Below are 22,800 nucleotides of genomic sequence, written 5' to 3' on the forward strand. Positions count from 1 at the left end.
CCATGTGGAATAAAGAGTTTCTTCAAAATTATCTAAGTTAGCCAGTTCAGCCCTCCACTAGAGCTGAGTAGGAGAATAGAGGTGACAGCATTGGTCAGTTCCACCCTCCAGCCTCATGCAAGGAAGTAGGGGAGATCCTAAATGAAATAATTTCAAGAAAGCAGAAGGAGGTTCTACTGTGTGGTTTTGTAAAGTATCCTTGTCCATAACCCCTCTGTAAACCAACCTTATAACATACAGAAGGCAGTGTCAAGAGGAAGCAGAGAAGAACAGGTCCCTTCCCCCAGCCAACTCACATGAATATGTTTTTAGGTAGTTTTATTCAATTTGTATACTATTGTGTTTTTGTTTTATTTGCTGTTACTTTCCTGTTTTCCGTGTTACAGTTAAATTAATATAAACATTTGTTTGTACTCTGTTTTATTATTTCACTTTGCATACCATTATGCATTCTTTCAGCCTTTTCCACTTAAAGTTATATGTTTTAGTTTTCCTTTTTTTTTTTTTTTTTTTTTTGTTGCTGCTGTTGTTGTTACCCCAGGTGCACAGAATTGAGCTGATTATATCCTTCGGTTTGTGGCCTTGTGCTATTATCATTCTGGGCAAGAGCCCTAGCTGGTTTTATTTTATTATCAGTCTCCAATCCTTGCTTCAATCCCTTGTAGACCTTCATTTTAATGTATTTAATGTGTGTTTATCAAACTCATTCTCCATATATATCTATATTTAGCTGTATATGTGGCATTCAAAAAAGAATGTATAGTTGTGTATGTGTGAATGTGTTCTATATAGCATAAACATTTTTGTATCATAAACCTTATTATGTTTCTTACTACTTTCATTCAATGTTAGCTCTTGGGCAGCTTTCTATGGTGCTATAGAGACATGCGTCTCTTAATGATGGGCATATGTCCTGAGAGATGCATCCTTAGGTGATTTAATCATCATGTGAGCATCATAGAGTATACTTACACAAGCCTAGATGGTATGTGATATAGCCTATTGCTCCTAGGCTACAAACATTTACAGTATGTTGCTGTGCTGAATACTGTAGGTGATTGTAACATAATGGTATTTGTGTATCTAAACATACCTGAACATGGAAACGATAATGCATTGCGCTATGATGTTATGAAGACTACCATGTCGCTAGGCAATAGGAATTTTTCAGCTTCATTACAGTCTCATAGGACTACTATCTATATGTCGTCCATTGTGGATTAAAACGTTTTTATGCAGTGCATGAACGTCTTTAAATCTAGTTCATTTCTTCCAATTGCTGGCCACTTTGCCATCGTTTATGTGTAGTCATGTGCCACATGGTGGCATTTTGATCAGTGATGGACAGCATATACAGCTGTGGTCCCATAAGATTATAAAACTGATGCCTACTGTACCTTTTCTATGGTTAGATGTGTTTAGATATACAAATACTTACCACTGTGTTACAATTGCCTACAGTATTCAGTACAGTAACATGCTGTACAGGTTTGTAGCCTAGGAGCAATAGGCTATGCCATATAGCCTAGCGTGTGGTAGGCTTTACCATGTAGATTTGTATAAGTACACTCTGTGATGTTTGCACAGTGACACAATCACCTAACGACACACTTCTCAGAATATATCCTCATCATTAAGTGAAGCATGACTGTATATGAATTGTTACTTATCCAGTCTCCCAGCTGTGGACATCTAAGTTGCCTCTAACTCCTTTCATTCCAAACAACATTTCAATAAATCGCACATATATGTTTCCTTTGAACCTGTTAGGAATTTTCTCAGGGGAATATTTCCAGGAGTACAGGATTGCTCAGTGGTAAGTCACATACATTTGTAAATCTACTGACTACTGTTGTCACACTTTCTCCTGAATGAGTGCACCAATTCACACCAGTTCAATGTGCAATACAGAAGGGATTCTACTTTCCACAGTTTTATCAGCACGTAGCATCATCCAATCTAATTATCCATAGAACATTACCTTAATGTTGCTTTTATTTGTGTTTCACTGATAAGTATTGAAGCTGAGGATCACTTTATCTGTTTAGAGACATTCAGATTCTGCATTCTGAGTCTATTCATAAACTTTGACTATTTTCTATTGAGTTTCCTGCTTTTTTATTCAATAATTTGAGGAAACTCATAATATATTTGGGATAATAATGCTTTGTCAATTTTACATGTTGTACATATCCCCTCCAAGTTTATGGGGCTTGTTTTGTTTTTATTGTAAATACAAATTGAACATTGTATATGTAATCACCATGTTTAAGAACATGATAATCCCATTATGTTGATAGGCTATAATATGCCAAATCATCCCTACCTCTTTTTTTACTTGATTTTTAAGTTGAGTCTGGTTTTATATTTATATTAAATTATTTGTATTAGAAGTTATCATTGCAATATTTCTCCTGTTGCTTGTCAATTTTTCTTTTATATTTTTGTCTGTTTTTTGAGACAGGATCTCACTCTGTCACCCAGGCTGGAGTGCAGTGATGCCAGCCTCCTCCACCCCCATCCATCCACCCACCTTATGCGGGGATAAATGAGTAGCTGGGACCACAGGTACACACCACCAGGCCCAGCTATTATTTTGTATTTTTAGTAGAGACCTGGGTCTCGCCATGTTGCTCAGAATGGTTTGGAACCCCTGGGCTCAAGAGATCCACTCACCTTGGCCTCACAACGTATTGGGATTACAGGCGTGAGCAATAGCACCCAGCCTTCTTTTATATTTTCTAAAGACAAATGCTAAGCCTGCATTACTTGATCAAATCACACGACCATTTTAAATGAATCTTAGTATGCACTGCCATATTGCTTACCCAAGGAGTGTATATGCTTTTATCACTAGCAACAAAAATGGTCAGTTTAGTCATAACCTTGAAAAATTATGTAGTTTTTATCCCATTGATAGTTTAGTAACTAATAAATAATATAACATACTATAATTTATGCTTCTTATATAAAATTTGATAGCCTTCATTTCATTTATCAAGGACCTTTGTATCTTTTATAAATTTTAATGAATTAATAAGCAATATTAATAGATGCTTACTCTGTCAAGCACTTGGCTGAATTCTTTATCAGTAATACTTAAATGATACTACAATATAGACTCTATTATTGCTTCCTATTGTATAAATGGAGAAACTCAGTCAACAGTATTAACCTCTTATTTCTCCCAAATCTTATTTTATATATAGTTAGTATCACAGAATTTAGCCCTGACCTCTGCTTGAAACACGTTTGCTTTATCTCTCTTGCTTTAAGCTATTTGAGACTAGTGAGCAAAAATGGTCCTCTTATTTCATGCCATCAACAGTACCAGGTACTTCAATTGTCACTTAATAAGTATTATTTTATTAATTTCTATCAAGTTTTCTACTTATAAATCCATAATAGATCATCATACCTTGTATTGTCTTCTTATTTTCCTTCTTTCTCTTCTTTTTTATGTGTCTTTATTTGTCTCTTTAATGTATTTTCTCTTTCTCTCAAAGAAAATTTAACTTATCTCTGAATATAAGCAGGAGATGGTAAAAGGAAAGATAAATTATTGGCTATATTTGACATTCATAAGAGGCCATACCTTTAGCCTTATTTTGAAATGAGGTTATACACATTTCCCCAACAATACACTGACAGGCTTGAAAACAGAATACATTCAGCATTCACTTTAATTTTTAATTGTGAACACTGAAACTATGCCTTAGCTTATCTGATGAACCATAGGAATTTCTTCATTTGGGGAATTCCGTCCCCAAACCTGTAAGTAACCCTGGCTTCTCTGAAACTCTATGACACCTTAGTAAAAAGTTATTTTCAATGCTTACATTTACAAAATACACCTGACAGTATGTTTATGAAGTCTCAGCACCACAAACTTTCTTCTCCCTCGGCATCTAGGTCTTCCCGTCATCAGCTCCTGTGTGGCTCTGCGTATCTTACCACAATATAGAGTCACATTCTTCTCTCCTTAGATGGACATAGAAAGATATACTTGGGGGTGAAAATATGGCCAGAAGATGGCTACGAAAAGAAATGCAGAAAAAAGATTGTGCAGTGGTTACGTCTACTAGTGCCTGCTTTCATCCTAGGGCCCATAGCTACTAGGCCTTCGGTTGGGTTTTTGTTTGTTTGTTTTAACAGTTGTTATTCAGAATGGACTTTCTTTGGAATGTGAGACTAAGGTGTGCGCCTAACGTCATCATATTTTTTCTTTAGTAGTTTCTGCTCAGTATCGCAATAAATTCTTCCAGGCTGAATCTTTCTTCATTTTCTTGCAATACTGACAGAGATGGGTATTTTTACACCTCAGTGTCTTTTTGACCCACCTTTTAGCAGTCATAAATTACAAGATGCTTAGAATATGAGACAGAAGAAGTAAGTTCCTAGACCAACCAGTTTGAGAATGAGTCTGTACGTTTAACAGTGTCTGAGTGATTTTGCGGTAAATCAATCAGGGACATTAGAATAAATTACTTTCACTCCCATCACTGGTGTGGAATCAAGTCAAATCCAGCATGACCAAGTTAGGTAACAAAGGCAGATGGACCAAATAAGAGAACCTGAAATTTGTCAAGGAACCTCACATATATTTTCTTCTGACTTTTTGGTTTGCCACTCTGTCATTACCTAAAGAAGGCAAAAGAAAGGTAAGCGTAGGATATAAAGCTTTTGGTGTTTAGAGCAAATGAATGTGTTAAACCCGGAGTTTAAGCTAACAGATTCTTATAACGGTAATGAATATTTTAAGAGCCATTTTTCATCAAGCATTTTCCAGATAAGCTGTTACAATCAAAGTTGCTGTTATTATGTGCTGCCATCCGGTGTCCATTTTGTAGAATGCCAAGCTGATGGCTTTGTTGAGTTTTTGTTTTTGTTTTTGTTTTGGGGGTGTTTTGTTGTTGTTGTTGTTGTTTGGGCTTTGATTTTGTTTTTGTACTTCTATTTGTCTGCTAGTTTTTTTTGCATTTTTCCAACTTCACAATTCAGGATTTGCTTTAGGGAAGTTTTATGAAGTGTTTCACTTGGATAAAATGTCCCACCAATTGCATAAATGGTACATAAATGCCCTCATAGAAATTTAGTTCTCCCTACTTCCCAATTGTAGTTAGCACCCCTTTTCCCCTTAGATGTAATTTGTTTTGTATGTCAAAAGATAAGATAAATACCTGCATTTCTTTTTTTGTTTTGTTCTGTTTTGAGACTGAGTCTCGCTCTGTCACCCAGGCTGGAGTGCAGTGGCGCGAACTTGGCTCACTGCAGCCTCTGCCTCTCTAGTTCAATTGATTCTCCTGCCTCAGCCTCCCAAGTAGCTGGGATTACAGACACCCACCACCATGCCCATCTAATTTTCTGTTTTTAGTATACTGGGTTTCGCCATGTTGACCAAGTTGGTCTCAAACTCCTGACCTCAAGTGATCAACCTGCCTCAGCCTCCCAAAGTGCTGGGATTATAGGTGTGAGCCACCGCACCTGGCCCAACACTTGGCATTTCTTGCCCTAGGATTTGTCTCCTGCATGGAATCACTAGGATCAAACCCTTACCTGATTGTTACCTGTAAATTCCTGTGGAAACTGATGGCTGTCTCCCTTACTCTTGGCACTTTGGACTGTCTTACTAAAGTTAGATATTTCCTGAACTGTGTGTCTTAGTTACCCCTTTAGTCTATCCAACACCTTAATTTTTGTCTCTCTGTGGAAAAAATAGAAAACTATTCTCTCAAAGTTATGATGAAATGTGGAGGCACTGATTGGTCAGTGGGTGAATTTGCCTGCTGACCATCATGATAGGGGTGGAAGACAGGGATAAAGGGCTCGCAGTTCAGCATTGCAGGATGGCCCAGGTCAGGCTAAGACATGGCTTTGCTCCAAAGAGAAAGAGATTCTAGTACTTCCCTGACAAGTGTTCCTTATCTCCCCCTCTTAGCTCCTCTCATGAGGCTCTCAACTGGCATGCTCAGAGTGACTACAGAGAGAGCTGCATGCCACCTGCTGAGAGACCATGGAGACACTGGAGTGAGCAGGGGCCTGAATCCCATCTCTATGGCTTGTTTTCCCTTGGTTAGGATGCAACCTTACTGGGCTTCAGTTTTCTCTTCTGTAATATGGGAGTATCCTAGGCTCATTCAGAAGACTTGGTTTCCATGTTTATTGTCCATCTTCTTGTAGTTAGAAGTACAGTTTTTGAGGAATGTCTTATTTTCCATCTCTTTTCAGCCCTTAGAATTGTGTTTGGCACGTGGTAAATGTTTAATGGAGACATGTGACCAGCTTAGTAATTAAATCACATAGTGCATATAAAATGCCAGGTGGCATACCTGGAACAGAGCAGAAGCCAGTGCAAGCTCAGCGTGGGAAGCCCTCTGGAGAAAGCTCAGGTATTGGACACTAGAAGCATAAATTAGGAAAAAATATCCTATATCAGAAGTGTTCGATAGTTAAGAAAAAATAATGCTAAGAATACCTTAATAACTACTAGGAAACTAAGGAACAGAGAAAGGAAAAGAAATTTTTCAGTCCTTGTTAATGACGAACAGCAAACATAAAGCAGAAAAAATCTCGATTTTTTCTGAAATTTGAAAGGCCATATACTCTTTTACTCAAAAAATCTTTAATAATCACCTACTAAATGTCAAACAGTATGCCCAGTACTGGAAATGCTCTTAAGAGGAGAGAGGTGGTTTCTATTTCTTTGTGGGAGCTTGGGGCATAGAGGGACTTCCTAGTGCAAAAACTGTGTTTATCCTAGAAAATAGTCTATTTGCAAAGTTTCCTCAGAAACTGCTGGACACACCTATCCTGGCTAAGGCTTTTAAGCTTGTATGAGTTGCCCACTTCCTGAAATGTCACCTAATATATTGAATAAGGGTCATATATAGTGATTTGGTTGCGTATAGAAAATATCAAATCCTTAAGTCAAGGTAAAACCTTGCCAAGTGATCCTTTGCACACTCCAGAGCTGACAATGCCTTACGAGAGAGTCACTATGTTAAAGTAATTGGGTGAGAAAGCTATTCCCCTGATATGCTAAGAACTATGGGCAACACAATGGGTCAGACATGGCAGCCATAAAAAAAGGATGAGTTCATGTCCTTTGCAGGGACATGGATGAAGCTGGATACCATCATTCTCAGCAACCTAACCCAAGGACAGAAAACCAAACACCGCATGTTCTCACTCATAAGTGGGAGTTGAACAGTATATAAAAAAGAAATTATTCTTTGGCCATTGTTGTAAAGTCATAATGTAGTTAGGGCTGGCTTCACCGGTGTGCGTCCAGGGCCCCATGCTCAGAAGGACTCTGCCCTTGATTTAATGCTAGATTGTTACTGTCTTAAAATACTTCATAATTTTTGGACACGGAATGGTGCATTTTTATTCCGCACTGGGCTTTGCAAATTCTGTACCCAATTCTGTTTTTCACTGGCAGATAGGTGTAAACTCATGTCTTTCAGTTATTCAAAAAAATATGTATTGAGGCCCTAAAAAGTAAATTAAAAAAATTTGGATTTAAAAAAAAACAGCGGCCGGGCGCGGTGGCTCACTCCTGTAATCCCAGCACTTTGGGAGGCCGAGGCAGGCGGATCACGAAGTCAGGAGATCGAGACCATCCTGGCTAACACGGTGAAACCCCATCTCTATTAAAAGTACAAAAAATTAGCCGGGCGTGTTGGTGGGCGCCTGTAGTCCCAGCTACTGGGGAGGCTGAGGCAGGAGAATGGCATGAACCCAGGAGGCGGAGATTTCAGTGAGCGGAGATTGCGCCACTGCACTCCAGTCCAGCCTGGGCGACAGAGCGAGACTCCGTCTCAAAAAACAAAACAAAACAAAACAAAACAAAACAAAAACCAGACAGCATAAAGTAACGAACAGATTATAGGTTTTGGAGCTAGAGAAACTGGGTTTAACTTTAAATCTAAGTGTAAGGCCTTAAGTTACCCTTTGAGCCTCATTTTTCATATTAGTAAATAGAGATGTTAGTACTTTCATCATTTTTGTGTATGAAGCTAAGCATAAACTAGATGATCAGGTTTACGCTAGGTATTCTAAATAATTTATGCTAATTATTATTTTAAAAGAATCATGGGAAAAAATCGAGATGAAAGAGGACATCTAAAAGGTTGTCAGCAGCATTATTATTCTTCGTTTTGAAATGAAATTCTTTTCAAGCAATAACACTGAGCCCATGGAAAAGCTTTCACTTTTATTCAGAGAAGATAGACAGTGTTTATAGTTTATAAATTCAAAACAAAGTAGCACCGTACATAAGGCGTCAGAGCAAGTCATGTTGCTAAGGTTTTGAGACCTGCAGTTCTTACCCTCTTCAGTTTTTTCATCCAATTCACCTAACAGGCACACAGTTCACAGCAGTTCAAAGTCCTTATAAAGAACAATGAGATAATTGCGTTTCATGCAACTTCAGCTCTAACCAGTTCCATTTCCAAGTTTAAGGATGGGGAGAGTTTTTGCCAGCAAGTTCTATAAATGATCAACATCTGAAACAGATCCAAATCAGAGCCATTTATCCAGGACTTACTATAGATAGGATGCAAATAAGGTATAGTGTCTCCTTGTGAGAATATGAAATGTATAGTGGGAAATATAATAGGTAGGTTAAATATGGATTCTTCGTGTGTGAGGGTGTTCTGTACTCCCTGACCACGTATGGTCAAAATAAGGGTGGTGTTAAAAGATGCCCAGACTAGACTTCTAATAATCTTTCTCTTTTTCCTGTTTGGAGTAATCTATTATTATGACCTGAATGAAGAGAAGGCTATTGCTGCTTCAATTCACTCTGCTGCTGCTGGTACCTAAAAGGCAAAATGGGCACTAGGGCAGAAGGAAACGTCTGTGTGGTTTTCTTTCTGGGTTTTGTTTTTTCATCTTTTCATTATTTAATTGAAAAATTGATACTCTTCATTTAAAGACAAGTGGGTCCAAGAACACAGTGTTTGTATTTGGATGTTGAAAAATACACATTGTGCTTCTTGTGTGTCTGCTTATTCTGTTCTTTTTTAACACAATGGTGTATCATTAAGAAAGCTCCAGGCATATAAGAGCAACCTAATTCTTTTTGTAAATATTAACCTTACTGAATCAAAGCTGTCCTTTCAATCAAGCTCTTAGTTTCTAAAAGACAAGTGGAAATAAATTACGCAAAGATCTTCAATAGTCATTTAAAAAGTATTTTGGTGTGGTTTTCTATTGACCTGAATAAAGTCTTTCCATAAACTTAAAAAAAAATCACTTTTGTGAAATGAATTCAACTGTTTTGAAGTGAATGTTAAGCTGAAGCAAACTGCAGCAATATGCTCTAATGGGTAGAAACTTATGTATATTAATCTCCTTAATATCTTTACTATCTACAAAAGAGTGCCTTCATGACATGAACATATATATATTCTAACTATAGAAGCAATATGTGTTCAATGCAGAAAACTTGGTAAACACCAAGAAATACAAAGGAGACTCAAAAGCCGCGATTTTACCACTTGATTTAACTACTGTCATATCAAGACTTTTTTTCCAGGCCAAAGTTCAGTCATTGACTCAATACATATGTATTTTGCGTCTATTCTGTCCAAGGCACCATGCTAAGCATTGTGGATACCTTTGTAAAGATGAACTGATTTCTACCATCTCGAGGCTCATTTCTTAATGGAGGATAGAGGTGAAATTTATGAAAAATATTTTTAAATTTATCATAAGTGTTATGAGAGGAAGTCATGGAAGGCACATATGACAAAGCAATGTTTTGACTTCTAATTAATGGAATTAATAATCAGAAGGAGTGTATGGGTGAAGAAAGTCCTAGGTAAATAGCACAGCACGGTTATAAACTACGTGTATTATGGTCTGCATTAAAACCTTCGCACATCAGTATTCTTCTACAGCATAGGGTTCATTATTCCATTATATGGACCTATTATATGCAATTTATTTAACCTATCTTTTTTATATTTTATGTATGGAATTAACAAGTAATGATGCAATTAATTTCTATGCATACAGACTCGGCAATTTGTGAGACTATTTCTCTAGAATAAATTTAAATTCGTAGGGAATGGACATTTTTAGCCAAAAGATATACACATTTTTAGGGATTTTTAAAAAGCACATTTTCAAATTGCACTCCAGAAAGGAAGCAACAGTCTGCATTCCCACCAATAGTGTATGAGAGAATCTATTTCCTACACTGTGATTATCCCTAGATGTTATCAGATGTTAGTTCTTTTATTCCTTGACAATTTGATGTACAAAGAGGGAAAAAGCATGTCACTATTTTTATTTGCATTTCTTTGATTTCTAGTAAGATTCAACATTATGAAAATATTTTGAATTAAGCAATGACACATGAGGCTGGTTAGTTTTTAAGACTGAAATACACTAAACCAATGAAGAGAAGAAACAATGAAGGAAGGAATAGGTTCTGATTCCTATTTTTACTTTGCTATTTTTGGTTTGCTGTAAAAACATAAACTTTTTATGGGAAGGATGCACATGGATACACAAAAAATGGATTTTTGGTAGTTGAAAAAGATATTAGGAGGATCTATAAATTAAGAAATTCTTACTATAAATGCTGTACTTTTAAATAATTCCAGAATGTCTTTATTATTACCCAAATTCCATACCACTTATAGATTTTAATAAAGAGGAGACTTTTAGCAAGACTGTTAAAAATAAAGATGGTCTCTACTCATTCCAAATGTTGCTCATACTGTATCTATAAATGATTTCTTCAACTGATAATGCTTTCTTTCCCTTTTATTTTTTTGTCCTAAGGAAAAACTGGTCTACTTCCTGGATTGTTCTTTCTAGTCGAAGAATTGAATTTTACAAAGAATCCAAGCAACAGGCTCTGTCCAATATGGTAAGTAATTCTCTGTTTCTATTGTTAAATATCTTTTCAGAAATATTGTAGAATTAAAAGTTTGGTTTTATCAGAAATCACACTAAAACCTCCAAGCTACCAACATCTGAAAACAGATGGAGAAAATGACTCAATAAACTTTTAATCAGATGAAGGGAAAATAGAACTTAGTGTCTGTTTTATTAAGTGGTGCATTTGGAGAATAATCACAAAATGAGATGTATGGTGAGCAGCTATGTAGTAATGCGAAGGTAACACTTTAAATTAAGGTGCCATTTATAAATGCCTTATTCTTATTTATGAAATGATCACTAAATGCAGCTACTTGCTCAAATAATGTATTATAAAGTATGTTATAAAATGCATTAGTAATAAATGCTTAACGGATGATACTATGGGAAGCTGTTTTAAAGAATATTATAAGACGTAAATCATATTAAACCATGTATGTGCATCTTTAATACATGAATTTAAGTTGGTATCTAGCATGCTATAAAGTGCTTCAGACATTAATAAATAATAATAAACTGTTTATAAATGGCACCTTAATATAGGGTATTACCAATGAGGAAACACTCTAAATTAGCCAAGTGATTTTTTATCTTCGTCTAACTGTGACGTTCACTATATCCAGCTAACCTTTTTGAATATTTCTATGACTCCATCTAATGGAGCTAATACAATTTCTGTATCCTGTAGTTATTACAAAGTGAAATTTGTAGGGTTTCTTCCTTGTACCTGGAGGAGGGCCTCACATATACCTACAAAGATTTGACAGTGATAATAAGTAAGAGCAATTCGGAGCCAGTTACTGGGGCAATTCAAGCTCAAAACCTTGCTGCCCAAACACAAGAGCTACCACAAGATGTAGGAGACAGTGGGCAGGCAACATATCTGACAGCCTCCTGATTAGGAAGGACTCCGGGCAGGAACTAACCTGCCACAGCCCATCGGCCTGATGGATGATAAGGAAAGGGGTCGCCTGGCAGGAGTTACCCACAATGAACTAATTTGTATTTGACAGGTAATAAAACGATGGGAAGTTCTTTGCTCTCCAGCCACTAGTTGTGTTTGCTATGTAATCCTCTTTAAATAGAAAATAGAAAATCATTTGCTAGGAGATTTTTCTTAAAAGAAGATTTTAGTAAGAACAAAAGGTAGCATTTGACTTGCTTCTGATAACCGCAGTAGCCTTTATCCCCAAGTGGCTTGCTGATTTTGGAGTCTCAGTGCTGTCCGATCTGTAAACTAATTATGAATAAATTAAAAATATATCTCAGTCCTTTGTATTTTTAATTTAAACTGCCTCAGAAATTTGTTTTAGGGTTTTATTTTGTTTTTATTTTTGGATACAGTAAGGTTGAGATAATCTTTTTAAGGAAAATAAAGTACCCCTAAGGGCCAGGCACAAAACAACTACCATCCACTTGCAGGTCCTTTGTCTTCCCTTTGAATGAGCTCTAAGGGGGAAGTCAGGAGGGGAGGAAAGTCGCTGGCCTTGCTGAGTTTGGCTGCTGAAAAGATGATCTTCCCCTGCTGAGTGAGAAGAATTCCATTGGGAGGAGAGTTTATGCGAATGTGTGGGATAATGGGAGAGATAAGATTCCATATTTTAAAGCATTTGGTTTATTTTTATTTTATTATTTTAATCTCTTTATACCATGAGATATAATTATCAGCTGTTAAATTTTATACAGGTGAAAGAAAACTCCCTTTTTGATTGCAGGCAAATCTTGCAAGTTAGCTCACTAATTGCATGCCTCTCGTTCAACCTTCAGAACTGTTGTAAGTTGACAATAGACTTGACTTGTAGAAGAAATTTGTTAACATTTTCCTAGGAGTCCTTATTTATTACTTCTGGCCCCATTTTTAATGCTCTTATGGTTTCTACCAGGCACTCATTGTCTTCAAAGTCAATTCATGGCAGGAACTAACTGTGTTTTGTGGTAATGGGTAAGAGAATTACAGATTTATGTTTGTGCTGCATGAATTGACTTGCTAGTCAACTTCTTGGATCCATTTCTAACCCAGTATTAAAGGCCTAGTGGGATAGCCCACGTTTACCAGTTCCAGTCTTAGAGAAACGATACAACGATTGCCAGGCCTTGATTAAAGATGCTGTGGTTTTATTTTGAAAGAGATTTATGCTCAAGTTTCTGAATTTCTCTTGCACCCCCTTAGAATTTTTCTGGTGTTGCTCATTGTGCTTCTGGAAAAAAGTCTGCCCTTTCCTCCTAGGGGTCAAGACAAGCTGCCTGAGTGAGTGCAGAATGTGATTTAAAAGAATAAATGGTATTTTAGTCCTTATACAAATGATCTTTAAGTGTTAATGCAGCAGTGAGACAAGGCAACAAAACCAGCCAGAGCAGTTTTGAAGTTGGACTCTAGGGGATGTAATTCCTTTTTTTTTTTTTTTTTTTACCACTCATTAGCTGATAACATTACTCACTTCTTTGAGCTTCAGAATCCTTACCTGTGAAATGGGCATAGTGATACCTGCCAACAGAATTAGTAAGGAATGAAATTAATTGGTAAAAACAAATACATAATGAACAAAAAATTATTGTGCTTTATTATATCATATGCTATTAAATACAGAAATATAACATATTCTATAGTACACAATAGAGAGTATAATTATATTATTACATTAGTTTTGTACTTGACCTGATTCAGACATTTATAGAAGAGAGAATATACTAATTAATTCAAGAAACTCCATCATGCATGACCTCCAAAAGAATGTATCCAGAAGTAGCATAAAATGCTGTCTCAGAGCAATGACTAATACTGAAAATAAAGCCAGCCATCCATTTAGGGCTCTAGATGTTAACCTCTTGAATGTCCATACAAAGTTTCCCGGTGCCCCCATCTTCTTCCTTTGGCTCTTACCCTTACTGTTTTCACATTTAATACAGCATGTTACAAAGTATTCTGCCTGACCCCACATTCTGTGTTTGGTTACTTTCCTTTCTCACTGAAGTTCTTCCAGTTCATATCTGTCTTACTCAGTTAGGACTGCTACATCAAAGTACCAATGGCTGGGTGGCTTAAACCACACACATTTATTTCTCCTGGTTTTGGAGGCTGGGAAGTCCACGATCGAGGCACAGGTGAATCTGGTGTCTGCTGAGGTCCTGCTTCCTCATTTGCATCTGTCCTGTCTTCTCACTGTATCCTCACATGGCAGAGGGCAGAAAGTGAGAGAGCAGACGTTCGTGTCTTTTCACATAAGGCCACTAATCCCATTCATGAGGGCTCCACCTTTATGATCTAATTACCTCCCAAAGGCCCTACCTCCTAATGGCATCACACTGGGGTTTAAGGTTTCAACATAGGAATTTTAGAGTAACACAAACATTCAATCCTTAAAAATATCCAAGTCACATTTTTATCAAAAGCAGCCTTACTGTGCAAATAAGCACAGAATCACTTTGCTTATTTTCATAGAGATTCATAGGTACCTCAGTGAGTTAGTAAAGGAGAAGGAAGAATGACCTATTCTGTTCTTGTTTTATGAAAAGGACATTAAATCGTAACTGACCACCTACTATCATCAGCATTTTATAACAGAAAGGACATTATAAAATACCCAATCCAAAAAATAGAAAGGATAAAATTATCAGAATAAAAGACACCCTTTACCAAAAAGAAAACTGTCCCCCTTATTTGCCTAACATACTCTCTCTTTTGCTCATCAAGACAGGTGGATCGGGACTGGCTGGTCCTCCAGTGAGGAGGAAAACCACTCGTGTCCCTAGATCCAGATTTCCTGAATTATGAAGGAAAGGATGGTGTTCATATTCTCATATTTTTAATGTATTTTTATTTATAACTCACTTAAAATATTATAAAATAATACAGAAACCATTTTAAGTAAAATGTATAAAACATCTATGTGTATTTTTAATAGGTATCAATCAATCACCTGCATAAGCACTACCCAGGATGAGTTATAGACCCTGCCAGCCCTTCAGAAGCCCCAACCCCTATCAGTTGTCCCTTTGTCATCATAGCCTCTTCCCTTCTCTGGAGTTAGCCAAGAACCTGCGTTTTAGTCATTATTTCATTGCCTTTCATTATTTTCAAACCTATAGCTATATACCTTAAAAATATAATTTAGGTGTTTTTTAATTCATATAAATGGAATCCTAGTGTATGTTTCTTTTGTTTCTTGCTTCTTTCACTAAGTATTTCTTGCTTTTTCTGTCCTTTAATATTTTATCATTCCATTTTTTTCTTTTCTCTACTAGTTTGGGAGGATACACTTTGTTTCTGCTCTGTTAGTATAGTTAGCCTAGGGTTACAGCATTAGTACTTATCAACAAATAAAGCTAGTGTGAGACCCTTTACCTTCTACTAAGATGTTACCTTGGAATATTTTTAATCAATTTATCCCTTTCTCAATGTATATGTTATTACCATCTGGTGTTTTAATTTTTTTAATATCACCAGACATTATTATTCTCTTTTATGGAGTCAATGTTTGTTTACATTTGCCTAATATTTGCCACATTCTTTGCTATTTATTTCTCCATGAACCTTGGACTTGCTTTCTAGGATCACTTTTTCTTCTGCTTGAAATATATTCTGAGAAATTCCTGTGCTAAGGGTCTTGCAGGGACAATCTATCTCATAGTCTGCTTACTTGAAAAAAATCTCTATTTCTCCCTCATCCTAGAAATATATATTCTCTTTGAATATAGAATTTTTAGTTGGTAGTCATTTTCAGTCAGCATGTCAAAAATATCATTACACTGTCTTCTGTTATCCATTCTTAAAATCAAATCACCTGTTAATATAACTGATCTTTTCTGATTGCTCATAATATTTTTCTCATTACCTTTGTTTTTCTACAGTTTCATCATGATGCATACAGATGTCAGTTTCTTTTTATTTTTCCTGCCTGGATTGTTATGCTTCTTAAAATTATTGATTGCTGTCATTAATATATTTCAAAAAATTTCCAATAGCTATCTTTTTTTTTTTTTTTTTTGAGATGAAGTCTCACTCTGTCACCTAGGCTAGAGTGCAGTGGCATGATCTTGGCTCACTACAACCTCTGCCTCCCAAGTTCAAGAATTCTCAGCCTCAGCCTCCAGAGTAGCTGGGATTACAGACACGCACCACCAAGCCCGGCTAATTTTGGTATATTTAGTAGAGATAGGGTTTCACTATGTTGGCCAAGCCGGTCTTGAATTCCTGACCTCAAGTGCTCTGCCTGCCTCACCCTCCCAAAGTGCTGGGATTACAGGTGTCAGCCACCGCACCAGGCCCAATGGCTATCTTTTCAAATGTAGCCCTTTTTACATTCCCTCTCTCATTTCCTTCTAAACCTTCAGTTAAACCCATGTTAAATTTCTCACTGTATTCTCTAAATGCTTTACACTCTCATTTTTCTTATATTTTTGTCTTTCTGAGCTGCATTGCAAATAATTTCTCTTTAGGTATCTTCCAGTTCTTCTTTCTCCTTAATTTCAATTATTGTAATTTTTATTTCTAGAAGTTTGTTTCTTTTAAAAATGTACTATGTATATTGTTAGAGTTAATTTTTTCCTGCAGGCATTTTTTAAGACTCTATTTTATTTTGTTATAACTAGGAGGCATAGTTGTTTTATAATCTGTATTTTGTGATTCTAATATCTAAATTTGTGTCAGTATGTTTCTGCTGGTTCTTATGTTGCTTTGTTTTCTTGTGTGTCTGGTTATCTTTGACTGTGTGCTAATCATTGTTATTGAAATATTATCATGGGAGGCACTCTGAGGCCTAGGATAAATGTGTCCTACTCCAGAGTATTTTAGATTTTTCTCAGGAGGTTTGGGACATTCCCAGAGACTGACTATCTCAATCTAAATTAACAGTATAAAACTCTCCAATTATGTCTACATAATAGGAGGGCCGTAGCTATCCTGCCACTTCTCAGGGACAAGATTGTGCTTCAGTTTTTCTTATTTTCTTATTTTACATTGCTCATCTACCAAAACAGTCTTCTTTATATTTCCTTCGGTTTGGAGAAAGGCCACAAGTTTAATATCGGTTCTCCCTTATTCTTTATAACACTTTGGCCAGGACCTTGCTCCATTATTCTGGGTTTGATTGACCAAAGCTCAAATGTGTAGTATAAACAAATGACCTCAGGAAAAATGCAGTTGTGTTACTTTGATATTCAGCTTCCCTCACTGAATTCATATTCCCACCCCTAAAAAATATTTACAGTGGCAGTCCCACTGTCTTTTCAGACTTTCAATTCTTTTAAGGGGTAATTTTAAAAAGAAATATTTTATCCAGCATTTTTATTGTTTTCAGTGGGAGAATTGATCCAAAAACATAGCTTCTCATTGCAATCTACCTCACTTCAAGTTAAGTATGCATTTGGTTAATCAAGTTTGTGCTATTTATATAAATCTTGGTGGGAAAAGACTTCATAAGAATATGTATTGAAATTCTACAATGAACAGCTTGCTCGTTAGGGCTACATATAAGGCATAGAGATATAATCAAGATATAGTCTTTGCCTTATAAAATCTCTGCCAAAAAATAGGGTGAGATGAAATAAGAAACATAGTAGAGTTGTTTTTTTTTTTTTTTCCACTGAGATTTTGAAGAAGGCGAGCTCACATCTGTGAAAGATTTGAATTGGGCCTTGTAGGACCGTTATAATTTGAATATGTGGAGATTTGTAGGGAGGGAGTGCAGGGGCATAAAAAACATGAACAATGGCATAAAACTGAGAATGGACAGAGCCTGTGCACAACAAGGAGAAATGAATTTTTGTTTTGGTTTGAAGATAGGATAAGAGAAAAGGATTGAGAAGAGTTTCATGGCCTGAGATTTGCTGAGTGACAAATTTTTAATAAGTAGTGTTAGCGTTCTCCAGGTGTCTTCATTCTGGAATAATCTGTCATGGCTATTGTTTTAACAAACATATACTGAACAGCAGTACTAGTCAGTGGTATGTGTCTTAAAAGAGCCAGGCCTATTGTAGGGCCAAAGCAAGAGAGGATGCTCCTTCTTCGAGGCTCTTCATCTCATTTACTGCAGAAGTGAAAACTTTTTCCTCAAAAGCACCCACACTAGTGTTTGTTTCATCTGGTGCTAAAGAAGTACTAGAGAATCAGGAGTTGTCTGTTTGATTTATCTTCTCAGGCCTTGACTCACACTCCTTGTATTTTTCAGGTACACTTTCCTATTTTAGTATCAGTGAAGTATTTCAATTGACTCTAGCACTTCATTTGCAGCTTGACTCCTAAGTACCTGCTGTACTTTGTGATTTTAGAGCTTCTGCTTGATGTGTTCAGGAGGCACCTGACCATGTTCATGGGATTTGGCAAATCTCCATTTTTGGTTAAACAAAACCCATTTGATGGATTGCATCATAGAGAAGAAGCTCTGCAATTTAGAACATCCATTCATTTATTCTCTCAACAGTTAACAACTCCTACCAGGTGTCATATAATTTTTTTCTTTTTGTTTTGTTTTGTTTTTACATTAGGGGCAACAGAAATATTCAAATGAATAGTATATGATCCCTGCTCTTAAAGTACTCACAATATGGTAAAAGAGACATAATTTTGTATAGGTTTATTATAATAAAACCATGACTAAAGTGTTAAAAAATATTAGACAACATGCCATGGAACCATAGATTTAGCTATAGGTAGTCTTTTTCCAGAGAAACTATTGTTGCAAGTCATGTTCAGCTTAGGTATCTCTCCTTTTGTTCAAATATTACTGTTTGATATTATTATATCAAATATTATTGAGCATCTCTTATGTTTAAGTCACTACGATAGGTGTTCTGAAAGATAAAAAATGAACCAGACTGAAACAAATAGAAAGTATGGCCTTAGATTGAGTATAGTGAAGAAATGGATGTTGGTAGTTGTCCTAAAATGGCATGAACAGAGACATGGCGTCGTTTTATGATAACTCAAGAGAAGAGTGTGATTGCTTCCATTTGGACAGGATTTGAAATATATTCATGGAGGAAGTGACATTTGAGCACATTTCTGAAGGATGTATAGGATTTTGATGTAAAAGGGGGCAAAAGATATTTTATGTACTAATAAGAGAGTAATTAATAGTGAACTATGGAAAATTCTTTTTTTGTTGTTTATTTTACAGATGTATATTGATCTCTTGCCTTCTTCCATGCACTGTGTACTAGTCACTGTTCTTGAAATGTTTGAATGGGGGTTCCCTGAGGCCTGGAGTGAATATTTCCTAGTCCAGAGTATTTTGTGTTTCTTCTCTAAGTTGCCTGGGAGTGAGGAACAGCTTTAGACTAAGTTGCGGAACAGCATTGTGGAACAGCAAACAGTGTAATTTGGTTAGAAAGTCAGTGTGGAACCGGTTTAGGAAAGACTTTGAACAGGATTGGGAGAAGAGATCATTTCATTCTGTAGGTAATGTGGGGTTTTTGTAACCAATATGAAATATTCTCAAATTAAGAGAGACTCAGAGTTTTCAGAGACATGTTTAGGGAACTGATATATATATCAGTTGTCTATAAAATTAAGTCTCTCTTAATTTTGTGTATATATAACTTAAAAACACATGCAGGACTTGGTAAATTATCCGAGAGACATGTTCTAAAAATTTATGCAAATAGATGTGAGCAATAAGGCCTGAGCTCTTACGACAGAGAAAATTGTAAAACGGCTGTGTGTCATCATTTTGGCTCAATGCATTTAGTAAATCACAGGACATCTTTTCACTGACAAAATATTTTGATATTCTCATATGTCTCTGACCTCCAACAGTATGGCCATTTCTAAAGACGTTCTAGTGCAAAGAGAACAAGCAGAGCTATCCATCTAAGGAGAGCGAAAAACATGCTGTCCCAAGAACTAGGTGTGTCACCATCTCAGTGAGCACCCGTTGCAAACCTACTGGTGCTTCCATCTGACTCCAGAACATCTGTTTAGTGTCACACCCTACTTAAACAAATGCATTGTGTGAAGTCTTTCCACCAACAATCAGACGCTGTGGAACTCATTGTCACCAATTGGGTGGATGAGAGCCACCGTTTCTATTATATTCATCACACACTGCTCAGAAAATTTAGTGTCACTTTTGATATAAATTCAAAAACATTGTAAACATTTTAGGGAATATTTTCCCCCTAAAATGGTGTGGTTCTAAAGCCAGTATATTCAGTAGAAAGCCTATATGTTGGTTGTGTAAGGGACTTTTTTGTTACTCTTATGTTTTTTATTTTACATTGTACTAATATGTATTTTTAATCAGAGCCAACAACTGGCAATTTTTACTTTTTAAAAATTATATTTTTGGGTTTTACATTTAAGTCTTTAATCCATCTTGAGTTAATTTTTGTATATGGTGTAAGGAAGGGGTCCAGTTTCAATTTTCTGCATATGGTTACCCAGTTCCCCACATTTATTAAATAAACTATAAAAACTCTAGAATGAAATCTAGGCAATACCATTCAGGACATAGGCACAGACAAAGATTTTATGATGAAAATGCCAAAAGCAATTGTAATAAAAGCAAATGGTGACAAATGGGGTCTAATTAAACTAAAGAGCTTCCGCACAGCAAAAGTAACTATCATCAGAGTGAACAGACAACTTTCAGAATGGGAGACAATTTTTGCAATCTATTCAGCTGACAAAATTCTAATATCCAGAGTCTATAAGGAACTTAAACAAATGTACAAGAAAAAACAAACAACTCCATTAAAAAGTAGGCAAAGGACATGAACAGATACTTCTCAAAAGAGGACATATATGCAGCCAAAAAACATGAAAAAAAGCCCAACATCATTGATCATTAGATAAATGTAAATCAAAACCACAATGAGATACCATCTCACACCAGTCAGAATGGCAATTATTAAAAAGCCAAAAAACAACAGGTGCTGGTGAGGTTGCAGAGAAAAAGGAACACTTTTACACTGTTGATGGGAGTGTAAATTAGTCTGATCATTGTGGAAGACACTGTGGTGATTCCTCAAAGACCTAGAGTCAGAAATATTATTTGACCCAGCAATCCCATTACTGAGTACATACCCAAAGGAATATCAATCATTCTATTATAAAGACACATGCACGTGTATGTTCATTGCAGCACTGTTTACGATAGCAAAGACATGGAATCAACCTAAATGCCTGTCAATGATAGACTGGATAAAGAAAATGTGGTACATATAGACCATGGAATACTGTGCAGCTATAAAAAGGAATGAGATCATGACCTTTGCAGGGACATGGATGGAGTGGAAATCATTATCCTTAGCAAACTAACACAGGGACAGAAAAACACACTTATAAGTGGGAGCTGAATAATGAGAACACATGGATAGAGTGTGGGGAACAACAAATACTGGGGCCTGTTGGAGGTGGGTGGTGGGGAGAGGGACAGCATCAGGAAGAATAGCTAATAGATGCTGGGCTTAATACATTGGTGATGGGATGATCTGTGCAGCAAACCACCATGGCACACATTTAACTATGTAACAAACCTGCACATCCTGCACATGTACCCTGAACCTAAAAATGGAAGAAAAAAAATGTATTTTTAAAAAGTACAGTGTGATCTTTTGATGCATGTATACATTGTGGAATGATTAAATCAAGCTATTAACACTTCCATTACCTAATTTTTTGTGTGCAATGAAAACATTTAAAATATAATCAGTGATTTTTAAGTATATAGGATGTTATTAATTATAGTTACCATGCTGTACAATGGATCTCTAGAATTTATTATTCTTGTCTAATAGAATTTTGTACTCTTTGAGCAACATCTCCCCATACCCTTCCCCCAAACCCCCAGACCCTGGTAAGTACTATTCTACTCTCTGCTTCTATGAGTTTGACGTTATAAAAATTTTACTTTTAATAACAGAAAACTCTTCCAAGGCATTTAATGAACTATTAACTTTTCCAAACCACTCATTCAGCCATAACCTTGAAAGCAAAAATGGGCAACATAAAAGGCCTCATTAAAATAATTTGTTTTCAGCCTGGCCCACATATCGAGACCCTGTCTCTACAAAAGTTTTTTTTTAAAAGATTAGTTGGGTGCAGTGGCCCATGCCTAGAATCCCAGTACTTTGGGAGCCCAAGGCAGGTGGATCACCTGAGGTCAGGAGTTTGAGACTAGCCTGTCCAACATGGAGAAACCCCATCTCTACTAAAAATACAAAAATTAGTTGGGTGTGGTGGTGCCCACCTGCAACCTGAGCTACTTAGGAGGCTGAGGCACAAAAATTGCTTGAACCCAGGAGGTGGTGGTTGCAGTGAGCCGAGATCCCATCACTGCCCTCCACCCTGGGTGATAGAGTGAGACTCTGTCTCAAAAAAAAAAAAAAAAAAAAAAAAAAAAAAACCACACATGCACACATGGTGGTCATGCACCTGTAAGTCCAGCTACGTAGGAGGTCGAAGCAGGAGGATCACTTGAACCCAGGTGTTTGAGGCCGCAGTGAGCTATGATTAAGTCACTGCACTACAGGCTAGGCAATAGAATGAGACTCTGTCTCTAAAAAAATAAAACAAAATAAAATAAAATAAAATAAATAATAATTTACTTTTAAAAAATATTGTTTACTTTCAATATGAGTAATGAACACACACATTAATTAAATAATGCAATATATCTAATGCTCATTCACTGTAGTATGACTTTAACAACAAAATGAACTTATTTATGGAAGGAAAATGATGTGATTTAGCAAAAAGATGAAAATAGTTTCAATCAGAAAGCTATTCATGAATTATTGAGTATTCCGTGCAAAATGAATATGGAATGATTTTATCTTTGTAGAGTGAGTATTGAGCCCTTATTCAGACCCCTGCTTAAGAAGATCATGAAAAAATGGAGGGGCAAACAAAAGATCTATCAGCCTTAGACTAATGAAGGCATTTTAAAATCTCTGTTTAATCATTTA

The 22,800-nt window shown here is 36.3% G+C and overlaps 1 protein-coding gene across 10 annotated transcripts in view; it reads left to right on the forward strand.

Moving 5' to 3' along the window:
- ARHGAP15 (Rho GTPase activating protein 15) overlaps nucleotides 1–22,800 on the forward strand; it is a 638,934-nt gene that overhangs the window by 88,365 nt on the left and 527,769 nt on the right. For 9 of the 10 annotated variants that reach the window (XR_007078554.1, NM_018460.4, XM_017004500.3 and 6 more), the window contains one exon: nucleotides 10,798–10,885. Coding sequence is in view for 9 of the 10 variants with exons in the window: in NM_018460.4 (NP_060930.3) it covers nucleotides 10,798–10,885 (88 nt within the window). In the remaining variant the exon portion in view is untranslated. Of the gene's footprint in view, nucleotides 1–517; nucleotides 6,390–10,797; nucleotides 10,886–22,800 lie in introns of those variants that run through there. The other variant, XM_047445111.1, reaches the window with a different exon arrangement.

This window comes from Homo sapiens, chromosome 2 (assembly GCF_000001405.40).
Source record: "Homo sapiens chromosome 2, GRCh38.p14 Primary Assembly".
Classification (NCBI taxonomy): Eukaryota; Metazoa; Chordata; class Mammalia; order Primates; family Hominidae; genus Homo; species Homo sapiens.